The sequence below is a fragment of the Homo sapiens genome, chromosome 4, assembly GCF_000001405.40.
Source record: "Homo sapiens chromosome 4, GRCh38.p14 Primary Assembly".
Taxonomy (NCBI): Eukaryota; Metazoa; Chordata; class Mammalia; order Primates; family Hominidae; genus Homo; species Homo sapiens.
The window spans coordinates 70,472,429-70,487,663 of NC_000004.12; the positions used below are offsets into that span (position 1 = coordinate 70,472,429).

The window sequence follows — 15,235 nt, forward strand, 5'->3', positions numbered from 1 at the left end:
ACTCAATTCATATGTTATTAGAACACAATATGATTGGTAGGAATGTTTTTTGGTCTTGAAATTTAAAAACAAATCTGACAATATATTAGGAACCTGAAGAATAATAAGTAACCATTTCGTTTTTCAATTGGGTCAGATTGTTTTCTTCTTAGTGTGCTAGTACTATAATAATACCACTGAGACTTTATTATGGATAAGACATTATTCTCAGTACGATTTGTAATATATATATTATTCCAGTCAATCCTCAGGACATTCTTATGATGTAAGATTGCAACTCACTCAAAGTCATGCAGTGAGTGGCAGAGTCACACAGTAAGTGGGCAGAGCTTAAATCAAGTCTCTGACTGACTCTAACACCCATTTTATAAACCATGGGATTGTATTGTAAAGTGTGTCTAATCTCACAGCCCACCACATTGACATGCACACTAATTACCTGCCCTAATATGTAATCTGTCTATATGATTTAACCTTTATTTTGTTTTCTAAAGCTGATAAGCTGACATGTACACATTACATATATAACCAAAATGAGAAAAACAAAAGACCACATTCTTCTCTCACTCTTCCCTTCTACAACCTATAGCCAAAATACAATTCTCTTTTGCAAGTAGTTATTCAAAAAAAATATGTATTAAGTCTGCACTATGTACTAGGCATGATGACATAACAATGAATAAAGAATAATTCCTGTCATTTTGGGACTTAGAAAAAGGGTATCGGCCAGACACGGTGGCTCACACCCGTAATCCCAGAATTTTGGGAGGCCGATGAGGGTGGATTGCTTGAGCCCAGGAGTTCAGGACCAGCCTGGGCAACACAGTGAAACCGTGTCTCTACAAAAAATAAAAATAATAATAGCAATAGCCAGGAGCGGTGGTGCATGACTGTAGTCCAAGCTACTAGGGTGGCCAAAGTGAGAGGATCGCTTGAGTCTGGGGGGTGCAGGCTGCAGTGAGCCATGCGTGTGCCACTTCACTCCAGCCTGGACAACAGAGCGAGACTCTGTCTCAAAAAAAAAAAAAAGGTACAAGAAAAAGGATTATCAAATGGCAAAATCTTCAGTAGAATGAAATTGGAGGAAGAGTCCATTTGACCTGGTTCTTTGTTCCAAGTGACAGCCTTATAGCACAGCGACAAAGAGCATTTTCCTCTAACATCAGGAGTCTTTGCAAAACTGTGTAGTATCAGGTCATTTATATGATGGTTCCCCACAGAGGGGAGCTTCCTGAATTAGAAAAGAAATAAGAAGAAAATTATTTCCTTTTCTTATTGCTAAACTTCCTAAGATCCTGCCTTTCCTAGCCAATCTTTAATATCAATAGAAAATGCTCATTTTGCAAACTAGTTAGAATAATTCTTGAGCCTCCTCCATTGCTTCCTCTCTAAAAGAATGCATTTTAGGCCTGAAGCAATTTTGCATCACCCCTATGGAATGAAAATGTATACATAATTTTCAGAAACCATTGGTCTCTTTTTGCCTGTACTTTCTAATAAAAATAAGTTATTTACCAAAACGCATTCCTCTCCCATAATATCATAACTAATAGTACGCCACATTTCTGCTTTTCCCAGGAGACATCAGAAAGAATGAAAACTCTGCCGCTGTTTGTGTGCATCTGTGCACTGAGTGCTTGCTTCTCGGTAAGTATTCACCCAAATAAGTTTTTTCCTTAACTATCAATAACAAACATTTAGTGTACCTACCTGAGACTTTTAAAGCATAATAGGCAACCCCTATTTCCAAGAAGCTTGACATCTTTTATTTCCAGGAAACCTATAAATATGGACAATTGGCCGGTGCACTGGCTCACACCTCTAATCCCAGCACTATGGGAAGCCTAGGAGGGAGGATCACTTGAGCTCAGAGAAGTTCAAGACTAGCCTGAGTAACATAATGAGACAGTATCTCCACAACAACAACAACAACAAAATTTAATTAGCCAGGTGTGGTGGTGCGTGCCTGTAATCCCAACTACTCGGAGGCTGAGGTTGGGATCTTAAGCCTGGGAGGTCAAGGCTGCAGCAAGCCGTAATCATACCACTATGCCACAGCCTGGGTGACAAAATGAGACCCTGTCTTAAAAATATATACAGATAGGTAGATAGACTAGATAGATAGGTAGATAGACTAGGTAGGTAGGTAGGTAGGTAGGTAGATAGAGCATAAGGAAATAATTTGTTTCATTTATCCAATATCTATAGAGCACAAACTTTATAGTGAGTGTGATGAGAACTGACACAGATGAAAACCCAGGTTTGTAAGGCCTTTAGGTCTTGGTGTGGAATATGGTTTCAAATCTGTCAGGAAGTCTCAGCATGATCAAAGCACTCCCAGGGGATTTACATGACAGGATTCTCAGGAGAAGATAGGTAGCAGGTAACAAAAGCTGAGATAAGGAGACTAGTCAGGAAGCTATGGCAGTGGTCCAGATAAAAGATGATGGTGACTTGCACTAAATTTCAGCAATTAAAAGATAAGAGTGGGTTTAGGATATATTTTAGTGATTGAGTCTACTATATCTTCTGCTGGATTGTATATGTGGTAAAAGAAAGAAATGAACAGGCCGGGCGCGGTGGCTCATGCCTGTAGTCCCAGCACTTTCGGAGGCCAAGGCAGGTGGATCACCCGAGGTCAGGAGTTCAAGACCAGCCTGGCCAACATGGTGAAACCCCGTCTCTATTAAAAATACAAAAATTAGCTGGGTGTGGTGGTGGGCACCTGTAATCCCAGCTACTCAGGAGGCTGAGACAGGAGAATTGCTCGAACCTGGGAGGCAGAGTTTGCAGTGAGCCGAGATTGCATCACTGCACTACAGCCTGGGTGACAGAGCAAGATTTTGTCTCAAAAGAAAAAAAAAGAAAGAAATGAACAAAAACGTTCTAGTTTGGGGCATGTTACATTTGAAATGGCTATTAGACTTCCACATCAAGATATCAAGAAAACAGTGGATATATGTTGTCTGGAGTTCAGAAAGAAATCTAGGGGTAAAGTCTATATTTAAAACATACTTGAAGCCATGAAACCTTACAACATTTTCACCTAGGGAGAAAATGTAGGAAGTTTAGATATGGATAGAGAAAATGGAGGACCCACAAGAGGGGACAGGAAAGGATGGCTTCCAAAACCAAGAGAAGACTACAAAGTGGACCTTCTATCTTTAAGAAATTTAGGGTGTACTGGCAAAGGAAGATTAAAATTAATAATGATATAATGTGATTACAAGGTGATACATGCTGTAATAATAACCATATTTTTCTCTCATGCTATGTACCTGCAAGTATTTATTAAATTTTATTTTGACAAAATTTCAAATAAGAATCAAGAAGTGGAATGTACTTTTTTATTGAATGAGGATGGATAGCCTCAGAATATTACGCCAGTAGAGTAGAGAGAGAGAGGGCAGAAGAACTGATGAAGTGGACGGAATTTACTCTTGGATATTCTCATATTTCTCACTTACCTTATAATATCCCCCAGAAAACAATCAGGCTTTTTCCCGGACCCTAATGCTGATTTCTGTGACTAGAAGAGTGTTCAAGCTGGGCTCAGAAGATGTGGGCTTAAACTCATCTCTAATGTTTACCATCCAGATGAATCTTGAGCAATTTAGAATCTATTTATAGGGCCCCAATTTCCCTATGTGTAAAATAATAACAACACTATATGCTTCACAGGGCTGCTGAAGGGTAAATGAGAATTTATAAATTATAAACTATAGTGTAGATATAAAAATTATGACAAGATTATTGTAATCTCAATTTACATACTAGTTGATAAGGCTTTAAGTTCTGAATATGCACAGTGATGTTAACTTTTTAATAAGTAAAGTTTTAATAAGGAATCCCTGGCTACCAACACCTCTATATTGAAAGAAATAATTTTCCAATCAACACAAGTCATGTTATTGTGAAATGATGAATCTGGGTTGTTCTTTTGAAGTGGCCTTTCATCATAACTCCCTCAAATCCAGACACCTAAAGAATCCTTTCTTCCAAGTGCTTAGAATAAATAAAACTCTTCAAGCTGCCCAAATCTCAAAAAAGTGCCTGGTGAGAGAAAGAGTTTCCAAAGAACTTGAATATGAGAAGGTAGCACAGAAATACCTTGACCTGATCCTTAGAAAATACAGGAATGTGAGGTCAGGAGTTCGAGACCAGCCTGGCCAACATGGTGAAACATCGTCTCTACTAAAAATACAAAAATTAGCTGGGCGTGGTGGCCCACACCTGTAATTGCAGCTACTTGGGAGGCTGATGGAGGAGAATCACTTGAACTTGGGAGGCAGAGGTTGCAGTGAGCCAAGATCGTGCCACTGCACTTCAGCCTGGGTGACAGAGCGAGACTCCGTCTCAAAAAAAATAAAAAGAAAAGAAAATACAGGAATGTACCGGAGATTAGCATTAACCCACAGCCAGAAAAGGTCAGTCCTGGAGCTCTAGCAACAACCTGCTTTTGTGGAGTGATTTCAGGGAGCAGATAGTCTGGCTTCTCTCTTCCAGATGTCCCAAAGAAAGACTTGAAGGGATGTATTCTGGAGTCAGATGAAGAGCTCTGTCAACTATAGCATTATTTAGCATAATGCTTTCATTCTCTTTAAAAAAGGATCACAGATTTTCAAATGGTCATAAAAATAAGCTGGTAGCAAATGAAGAAATGAATTGTGCTTTCTAATTTCAATTAAATGTAATCTTGGGCCGGGTGCCGTGGCTCACACCTGTAATTCCAGCACTTTCAGAGGCCGCGGCGGGAAGATCACCTGAGGTCAGGAGTTCAAGACCAGCCTGGCCAACATGGTGAAACCCCCATCTCTACTAAGAATACAAAAATTAGCCAGGCATGCAGTACACACCTGTAATTCCAGCTTCTAGGGAGGCTGAGGCAGGAGAATCCCTTGAACCCAGGAGACGTAGGTTGCAGTGAGCTGAGATCATGCCACTGCACTCCAACTGGGTGACAGAGTGAGACTCTGTCTCAAAATACAAAAGTAAAAAATGTAATCTTGGCCTTTCTGTCTTCTAATTCTCTCCCTTTCTGACTAATTTTCTCCTCCTCTTCCTTCCTCAGAGAATTTGGCATTCCTCTAGTTATTTTAGGAGTCTTCTGCTTTCTCATACCCTCCTTTCTTGCTGCAAGTGCCATGTGTCTCTCCTTCTCCTTCCCTTGACTCCAGCCTACTCTATCCTTGTTCCTCATGTCTTCTCCCTCTTCTCTGCTCTCAAAAGTACAGTTTGCAAATGGAGAAACATTCTCCTAAAAGTTACTTAGTCTGAGACTCAGTTTTCCCATCCATATAATGAAGATAATAACCGTACCCACCTTATGATATTACTAAGAAATTAAATAAATTTGTATTTGTAAACCACTCAGAATAGGGCCTAACATAAAGTGTTACATGAAGACTTTTTTAATAAAAATAAATAATGAATGTGAACAGGCAGGCAGGGTTGCTATCTTTAATACACCCTCCCTGGCATATCTATATTTATTATAAGGACCTCCATACTTCAGTCACCTAAACTCAAACTTTAGAGGCATGCATTTTCAACTCCTTCCTCTCTCAGACTTCTCTAAATCCAACTCTAGTCTACAATTTCTGTTATAACCACCTGTAACTGCCAATCATAATAACTAATCAATATATTAAGTAAATCAAACAAACTGGTCATTTGATACATGTTCCAGGCCAAGCTAACATTAAAATTAATAGGATTTTAATCAATTTGCCTTCATATAAAAATGTGGTAGGTATTATTTTGGTCACCTAAAGTAAAATAGCTGAAACTATTTTACATATGAATAAACACTTTTAAATGTTAATACTTTATTCAATAACAAATTAGTTATTGTTATCATTTCCATGCATTTACTCATTCAATTAATAGCTAATGAGTACCTGCCATATGCCAGGCATAGTTTTAGGTATTGGACTTACAGAGGTGAATCAAAGAGGGGCCTTCGTGAGGCTCATGTGATTAAGGGAATGAACCACATAACTATTTCAAAGCAAATAAAATTAGACTTTGGATCTGGAATTTAATTTAATCCAAATCATTTTATAAATGAATAAGCCGACATCCAGGCACATTAAGTGACTTGACCAAAGTCACTCAGCTATTCAGTGGCAGACACAGGACAGAGCCAAACCTCCACTGCTGGTCTGTTGCAGCATGTTTCATACATGTTCCTATAAGATCTGGACATTCTTTGCAACATCCTCAGAGACCATCTGGAAAGGGAAAGACCGAGATCATGGAATGTGAGGCCCTCAATCCTGCTTCAGTCAGAGCAGGTCCTTAATTATGTGGATTGCATATTCAATCTCCAGGGAAAGATCTGTTTGAACAATATGACCTGTTCTATTTTATATGAGAAAACAACTACCCCTGTAATGGAAAGGATCTCCTCAGAGATTCCTGGAGTCAGTGTTACCGATTCTGAAAACCTATGCCCTTTTAAGAGAGATTTATGGAAAAATACCAAAGTCATGTGAGTATCAGAAGCCATTATGTTAGCTATTGGTTGTTCTCAGTTGTGAATTAAAATTTCCTGGACAATTTAATTTTCTAAACAAATAATACTTTCTTGTATTGATGGATGTTGTGGAGAATGTCCAGATCTTAGAGGAACATATTTGAAACACACTGCAACAGACCAGCAGTGGAGGTTTTAGTCTGTCCTATGTCTGGCATTGAATAATTGAATGACTTTGGGCAAGTCACTTAATATGCCTGGATCTCAGTTTATTCATTTATGAAATGATTCGGATTAAATTAAATTCCAGATCCAAAATCTAATTCTATGACCTCTTTGCTTTGAAATAGTTATGTGGTTCATTCCCTCAATCACATGAGCCTCACGATGGTCCCTGTTTCATTCACCTCTGAAAGCCCAGTACCTAGAAGCTATTTTTGAGGTTGGATATATTAGTCTCTGAGGAAGTTATCTTAGTTAAACAACTCAGCTAGTCTCTCAGAAGTTGTCACTTCATCTGCACTAAACTTTGTGTCCAAAGAAAGCTTTATAACTTGCGACTGGAATGATTTACCCATTTGGTCATCTAAAAAGGGCTTCTGTGAACATCATTAGGAAGAAAACGTAACCTATCCTTGTTTGGGATGTTCTCATTTATCCTGTTATATTTCTTTTCTCCAATTTAATATAACTGATCACTAAAAAATGTAGTATGAGATTGAATACAGGGAAGAGGGATATAAAAGGCATGAAGTATGTTTACAGATAAGAAACTGAAACAGTGATGGTACTCTAACTCAAATAATGTCAGCAATGGCTAAAGGAAATAAAAATATCTTGCAAAATGATGACCCACATGGCATAGAAGTTATTTTCAAATTTTGAAAGACTTCTGGATCTTCTGTAAATCTGCCAAAACAAAATTAGGACCAAAGGATGGAAATCTTCATGAAGAAAATTCTACTCAGTTAAGAATGAAAATCCCAAAAAACAAACCTACATTCAGTGTCAAGAACTCTCTACCAGGCGGCCTTAGGAATTACAGTAGTGAGTTCCTAATCAGAAGAGGTTAGATGCATAGACTAGAAAGCCTTTCAGCAGGTGTATTGATAAAAGATCAAGTATCAGATGTACAGTTGGACTGGATCAGTGTTCTTTTCAGATGTAAACACCTTTCAGAAATCATGAAAACCATTGGTGCTCTATCCAGACAAAATGCATAAACATGCAAATTTTCTCTAAAAATCAGATGACTCATGAACCCCCGAATCATGAATTCTATAATTCTAATTTTTTAAACAATAAAGTTAAAAGGTAATGACCAAAGTTGTTTCTCCAATTTATAAAGGCTAAAAACTGTTTCCTGAAATATGGAGAACATGAAGCCGGGGTGGGATATTTTGTTTGTTGGGGCTTTGTTGTTGTTTGGCTGTTTCGTATTTTGATGATGGTAGATATGAGGGGTGTAATCTAGAAAGGGCTCCTGGATCTCAGTTGAATGTCTTTGACTAAAGTTTTGTGAACAGGCTGAGCAAGCAGGAAGCTTTTGTGATGGGACCTCAGGCAGTAACTTGACCATTTTCCACCAGAGGAAGAAGAGAGGAACTGTAAGCACAAAAGTTCGTATCCAGCTAAGCATTCAAGCTAGAACCCACAGGAATATATTCATCCCAGCTATCTAGAGAGTAGACATTTGACAAAAGAAAACTCTCTAGTAGCAATTCTTTCTTGAAACTTGGTGAAATTAGGAAGATAATCACTTGACTCAATAATGTACTCTGGTTTCTAATCCCAGCATTCCACAAATACCGCTCATCTCATGGTCAGCAGTGATCACCTGATTGATAAATGGATACTTTTTTCATTTCTTACATTTTCTTTCTTTTCTGCAGTTCAGTGAAGGTCGAGAAAGGGATCATGAACTACGTCACAGAAGGCATCATCACCAATCACCCAAATCTCACTTTGAATTACCACATTATCCTGGACTGCTAGCTCACCAGAAGCCGTTCATTAGAAAGTCCTATAAATGTCTGCACAAACGCTGTAGGCCTAAGCTTCCACCTTCACCTAATAACCCCCCCAAATTCCCAAATCCTCACCAGCCACCTAAACATCCAGATAAAAATAGCAGTGTGGTCAACCCTACCTTAGTGGCTACAACCCAAATTCCATCTGTGACTTTCCCATCAGCTTCCACCAAAATTACTACCCTTCCAAATGTGACTTTTCTTCCCCAGAATGCCACCACCATATCTTCAAGAGAAAATGTTAACACAAGCTCTTCTGTAGCTACATTAGCACCAGTGAATTCCCCAGCTCCACAAGACACCACAGCTGCCCCACCCACACCTTCTGCAACTACACCAGCTCCACCATCTTCCTCAGCTCCACCAGAGACCACAGCTGCCCCACCCACACCTTCTGCAACTACACAAGCTCCACCATCTTCCTCAGCTCCACCAGAGACCACAGCTGCCCCACCCACACCTCCTGCAACTACACCAGCTCCACCATCTTCCTCAGCTCCACCAGAGACCACAGCTGCCCCACCCACACCTTCTGCAACTACACCAGCTCCACTATCTTCCTCAGCTCCACCAGAGACCACAGCTGTCCCACCCACACCTTCTGCAACTACCCTAGACCCATCATCCGCCTCAGCTCCACCAGAGACCACAGCTGCCCCACCCACACCTTCTGCAACTACACCAGCTCCACCGTCTTCCCCAGCTCCACAAGAGACCACAGCTGCCCCAATTACCACACCTAATTCTTCCCCAACTACTCTTGCACCTGACACTTCTGAAACTTCAGCTGCACCCACACACCAGACTACTACTTCGGTCACTACTCAAACTACTACTACTAAACAACCAACTTCAGCTCCTGGCCAAAATAAAATTTCTCGATTTCTTTTATATATGAAGAATCTACTAAACAGAATTATTGACGACATGGTGGAGCAATAGTATATTGTATGTTGTAAAGTGTTCTGTCATTTACAAGATGTGATTCATGAGTGCAGAACTACCACCTTTCTTTTAGCACCAATCCCAACATGAAATTATATTACTCAGATTTAAAGCACTATCATTAATCTTTCAATCTAATTATTCACCACCACAAGACCTATTAACAAGACAAAATGCCTCTATCCCACAAGCCAGATGCAGGTCTGGGGTTCAAAATAACTCTTTGGATCCTACAGAGATAGCCTACTGAGGGCAAAGAAAGTCCTTAGATAAAGAGAGAATATTGTATGGGCCATCAACCATTTACTTTTCCCTGAATGTTAGAAACTACAAAACCACTACCTTGTACCCCCATCAAAATCCCACCTGAACCATCTAATCCTATAAACATAAAGGGGTAAAATTGGAACTCTCCAGATGAACAAAGACATCTAAATATCTGTAGATAGAAACATTTATCTATCTAAATATATTGATAGACCTGTCATTGTATTGATTAATGACAAAACCCTTTAGATAATTATCTTCCATTTTAAATAAAATTTTATTTCACAAATATGAGCCAAGAAAGAGGAAAGTTGATTTGAAGTGAGGATTAGAAGTGAATGACAATAAAGTCTGTCAGCCAAGCACGAACCAAGACTGGCACTATTTTTCTTAGTGTATATAATTGTTTAAACTGCAAGGTTGACATTTATTGTGTTGTGTCTAAGTTAATTTCGATCTAATGTACCTGATTCTAGCCTCTGTGAACAACAAGAATATGTTTGTGTATGTTCACATGGTGCTTATAATATTTCACTATCAATTCAATTAATTCACATAAATTCCATGTGAAATGTATTCAACAATGGAATATTTTCTAAAACATTTAGTATACATTTGAATGTATTTTAAACCATGCCAAACTACTGCTTTAATGTCAAGTTTGCAGAATTGTCTCTGAAAATAAAAACCCTGACTTTAGTTGTAAAACAATAAAAGTTAGCTACTTGGTATACGGAGATGTTAATTTGGGATATGGAGGCATTTTTATCTTCTGTCACTACTACTTAAAACTCTGATGATTATGTTAGATTTTTTTGCTAACTAATAAAGATTTCAAATGGCAATTTATATTCATTGTGTGTATCTGGAAGTTTCTTGCCTTTCTTAGACTCTGAGACTGGTGAAAAGAGACCCAAATGAAAATTTACATTTTTGTCAACTCTGCCACTAATGAGTCAAGTGACTTGGGTAGGGCACTCTATCTCTAAACATTCATTTTCTTTATTTTTCAAAATGATTAATTTACTTAAATTAACTTAATCTTACTTCTTAATATATGTTTCCAATCCAAATTATGTGTTTGCCCTATGCTTCTCGGTCTGACAATTAAAGACCCCATCTCCCTCACTTTACTCTGTCCATCTAGGCTCATTTTGGTAGCTCTGTATAGACCAGTCCATGACTGATCACTGCAGGAGTACTGGAACCTGGCCATTTCTGCCCAAAATAGAACTCCTGCAACAGGCAATCTTTGCTTCAGATCTTCCCTTTGAGCCAAGGCTTTATCATATCTACATCATGGACTGAGGCTTTCCCTCCTAATCTTGCTTTCTTCCTCTCTTTCCTCTCATGAGTATCTGATCTACATCATAATGTGAAAGCTTTCCCTGCCCACTTCTCCCTCATCCCCCTATTTTCATATGCATTACTCCCCAGTAAACTGCTTAGTTTCCTAGGAGAATGGGGAAAAATAATAGAAAGTAGAATAAATTCACTGACTGCCTTATTGATAAAAGCTGAGAGACAAGATACCACTTAAAGCTGACAAATCAAGTAGTAAAAACTTAAGTATATGTAAGCAAACAAAATAAATGTTAAGAAATATGACATTGTGGACTAACACTGGAAGGTGGAGAAAGAGACAGTAAAAGGAAGAAGATGCTACAGGTTAATTTTATTTCTCGTAGTAGGAAACCAATAAAACTGCCTTAAGGAAGAGGAAACACAGGGTATCACATAAAGATATTAATATGTGACTATTAAAGTAAAATTAAAATATTCCCATGTGTTACAACAACTACCAAAAAACAATAGGATGGAACCCATAAAAACTTCTTAAATAGACCCAGATGTATACAGAATTTCAGTACATACTTGTGGTGGTTAATATTGAGTGTCAGCTTGCTGAGTTTTCCAGCCTTCATCTGTCTCCCATGCTGGATGCTTCCTGCTCTCGAACATCTGACTCCAAGTTCTTCAGCTTTTAAGCTCTTGGACTTACACCAGTGGTTTGTCAGGGGCTCTCAGGCCTTCAGCCACAGACTGAAGGCTACACTGTCAGCTACCCTATTTTTTAGGTTTTGGGACTTGAAGCGGCTTCCTTGCTCCTCAGCTTGCATATGGCCTATTGTGGGACTTCACCTTTTGATCGTGTGAGTCAATACTCCTTAATAACCTTCCCTTCACATATACATCTATCCTATTAGTTCTGTCCCTCTAAAGAACCCTAATATAATAATTAAATCAGAGGTAATATGGGGCATTTTAATAAATTTTCTTGGAAAAGAAATTGAGGGTCTTTTGGAGAAAGATACACACCAAATTGAGCAAAATTATAAATTTTCCAAACTTAAGTACTAGGAAGAAACGTGGATGAATTCTTTTATATCCCTAAAATAAGGAAGTCCTTTCTAAATATAACCCTACAGCCTAAAGCCAAAGAAAGAAACATTGATTACTTTGCACAAAATTCTATATCTTTTATGTGGATAAAAATGTTAGAAAAATAAAGAGCAAATAACAAACTAGGAAAAAAGCACTTTTTTGTCTGTATCACAGACAGAAGGTTAATTTCTCAATAAAACACAAAAAGGTCCTACGAATGGAGAAGAAAAACAGGTCAGTGTAAAAATTGACAATGATGTGAGCAGACTACTCACAGAAAAAAATGATAATAATAATACAGTCCAAGTATATGAAGAGCTGCTAAACTTAATTTACAGTAATAGAAATGAACAATAAAACTACACCGAGATACTATTTCCCATCTAATATATGGGCATAAATTCAAAAAAAAGACACCTTTTGTGGGTGAGGCTGGGGGAAACAGGCCCTCTTATACTTCACTTGTGGAAATTAAAAATGGAACCTAGAGAGCAAAATCTGATAATATCTTTTAAGATCCCAGCTATATTTACTCTATTACTCAGCAATACCATTTCTAGAAATCTATCCTACAGATATACCTGCACAAGTACAAAAAGATATATATATACATATATATATATATAAAAACTTATCCATTGTGGCATTTAATAATGGCAAAAGAATAAGAAAAATCTATGTGTCCAGATATAGGGATCTGGTTGAATAAAACATGGTAATTCTACATGACAAAATGTGATACAAGCTATGAAAATGAATCAGGAAAGCCTGTGTTCTCACATGGAGAGATCAAGATATATAATAAAGGTATTCAAAAAAAAAAAAAACCAAGATGAAGAATAATATATAAAGTATATTACATTTTGTATATGAGAGTGGACAAAATAAGCAAGTGTATGTGTATTTGCTTATTTTTTTTAAAAAACTATATATAATACTATATATAGTATAAATGCTATATAAATATACATATATACATTTGTATATATATTAGGGTTCTCTAGAGGACCAGAATCAATAGAATATGTATATGAAAGGGAATTTATTAGAGAAAAATTGGCTCAACAATCACAAAGGTGAAGTCCCAGGACAGGCTGTCTGCAAGCTGGAGAACCAGAGGAGGCAGTAATGTGGCTTAGTCCAAGTTCAAAGGCTTCAGCTAGGGAAAGCCATCATTGCAACCCCCAGTCTGAGAATGAAGGCCTGAAAGCACTCAGGATGCCACTGGTGCAAGTCCCAGAGTCCAAGAACCAAAGACTCTAGAGTCTGCAGGAGGAGAAGAAGACTTCCTAGGGCAGAAGAAAGAGATGAAGCAAAGGCGAGCTGAGTATCCTTCTTCCACCTGCTTTGTTCCAGTTGGGCTCCCAACTGTTTGGATATTGACCACCCACATTGAGGATGGGTCTTTCTCTCTCAGTCCACTGACTCATACATTAATCTCCTCTGAAAACACCTTCACAGATACACCCAGAAACAATACTTCGCCAGCCGTCTAGGCATCCCTCCATCCAGTCAATTTGACACCTAATATTAACTGTCACAAGTCCACCGCTGGTCAGCTTGGCATCCATATGCATCTCCTTAGACCAAACAATTTCTAAATAAAGCCAACAACAAGGTCATAATTCTGCCTAACCTGATACAACTACCCTGCATACTACCAAAAATGCACTTATCCTGTCCTCAAAAGAGGAAGTAAAGTTCTTCAGTGATGTTTACTCCTTTTCTGGTAACTTAACATCCCAAAGCTTACATACTATGATGTAATATTAATAATACTTAAATACTGATCCAAAGTTCCATCAATCTTAGGTTACATGATAAAGGAATAACAGAGGAAAGAAAATAAAAATATTTGTTTAATATATGTGTATATATATATACATATATGTGTATATATATATTATAGAGATGCACAAACATATTCTTAACAAAATAGGGAGGAAATGCTTACAACAATTACAGTTCTCATTTCTGTAGCTGATCATGTGGTCATAGCTGATATTTATTACTACCCATTCTTTATTTTCTTTGTTTTCTTGGTAAGTCAAAGAGAATAAAGAATGGGTAGTAGAAGAAGGTAGTAATAAATACCAACTATGGATGAAATCTTTCCCTGTGGGGTGACCCAAACTTTCCTTCCTGAAGGGTCTGGATCATTCGTAGTCCTGTCTGGATTTGCTTGTTGTTGGATTAGGTTGGATTAAGGTTAATTTCTCATTGACCTTAATCACAGGACATAATACTAAGAGGCTACCCTAAGGATCTCTTGTATTCCAAACATAAACTTCCTGACCTCCATTGTGGAGTAGCAATCCAACTTCCCCTTAGTAGTCCAGATCAATCACCCCAATCAATATCTTAACTCCCTTTTTAATCTATTGACTTGGAGGCACTAGGTGCTTAAAGCAGCCAGTGGCAGTCTTACTTTCCAATTCTTTGGAATTATTGTTGTGTCTCCCAGTAAAGAATTCCTTCCTCTGAAACTAAGACCTCTAGGCCAGCAAAATATAATGTCATGGGAACAGGAAGCAAAAATTTTGCTAGTGGATCACTAGGGGTGATGGTGAGTGGTGCCACTCCCATTTCCACCCCTTGATTGCTGAACCTGTGAATCCTAACTATGGGAGAAAGAGTGTCATATATTGGATGCTGATTCAGAGCACTACAGCCTTCTGGAGAACTCTGGCCCAACTGTGCAAAGTACTGACACCTACCTGGCACTGTAACTGCAACTTCAAAAAGCCATTTCACTGATCTATCAAGCCAGCTACTTCAAGATGATGTGGAATATTGTTAAGACCAGTGACTTCCATAAGCATGAGCCTATTGCTGCACCTCTTTGGCTGTAAAGCAAGTTCCTTGGTCAGAATCAATATGGTGTGGAATACCATGACTGAGGCTAAGATATTCAGTAGGTCCACAATGGTAGTTCTGGCAGAAGTGACAGCTTTCCTTTGGCTTAATAAATTCTACTCCACTCACTCTCCAGTGTCCATGCACCTAATTGTTCCTGGTTGTGAGACAAGAACTCAGACCTAGCTGAGCTAAGGAATGGAAAGTCTGTATCACAATGCTTCACCAACCATCTAGGAATCCTTCAATCGAGTCCAGTTAATACCTAACAGTA

General features: G+C 38.3%; 1 protein-coding gene across 4 annotated transcripts in view; it reads left to right on the top strand.

Annotated features, from left to right (window-relative positions):
- MUC7 (mucin 7, secreted) overlaps nucleotides 1–10,569 on the top strand; it is a 52,506-nt gene extending 41,937 nt beyond the window's left edge. For all 4 annotated transcript variants that reach the window (NM_001145006.2, XM_047415723.1, NM_001145007.2 and 1 more), the window contains 2 exons: nucleotides 1,579–1,647; nucleotides 8,371–10,569. In NM_001145006.2, coding sequence (NP_001138478.1) covers nucleotides 1,594–1,647; nucleotides 8,371–9,450 — 1,134 coding nt within the window. In that variant the 5' untranslated portion in view covers nucleotides 1,579–1,593 and the 3' untranslated portion in view covers nucleotides 9,451–10,569. The remainder of the gene's footprint in view (nucleotides 1–1,578; nucleotides 1,648–8,370) is intronic.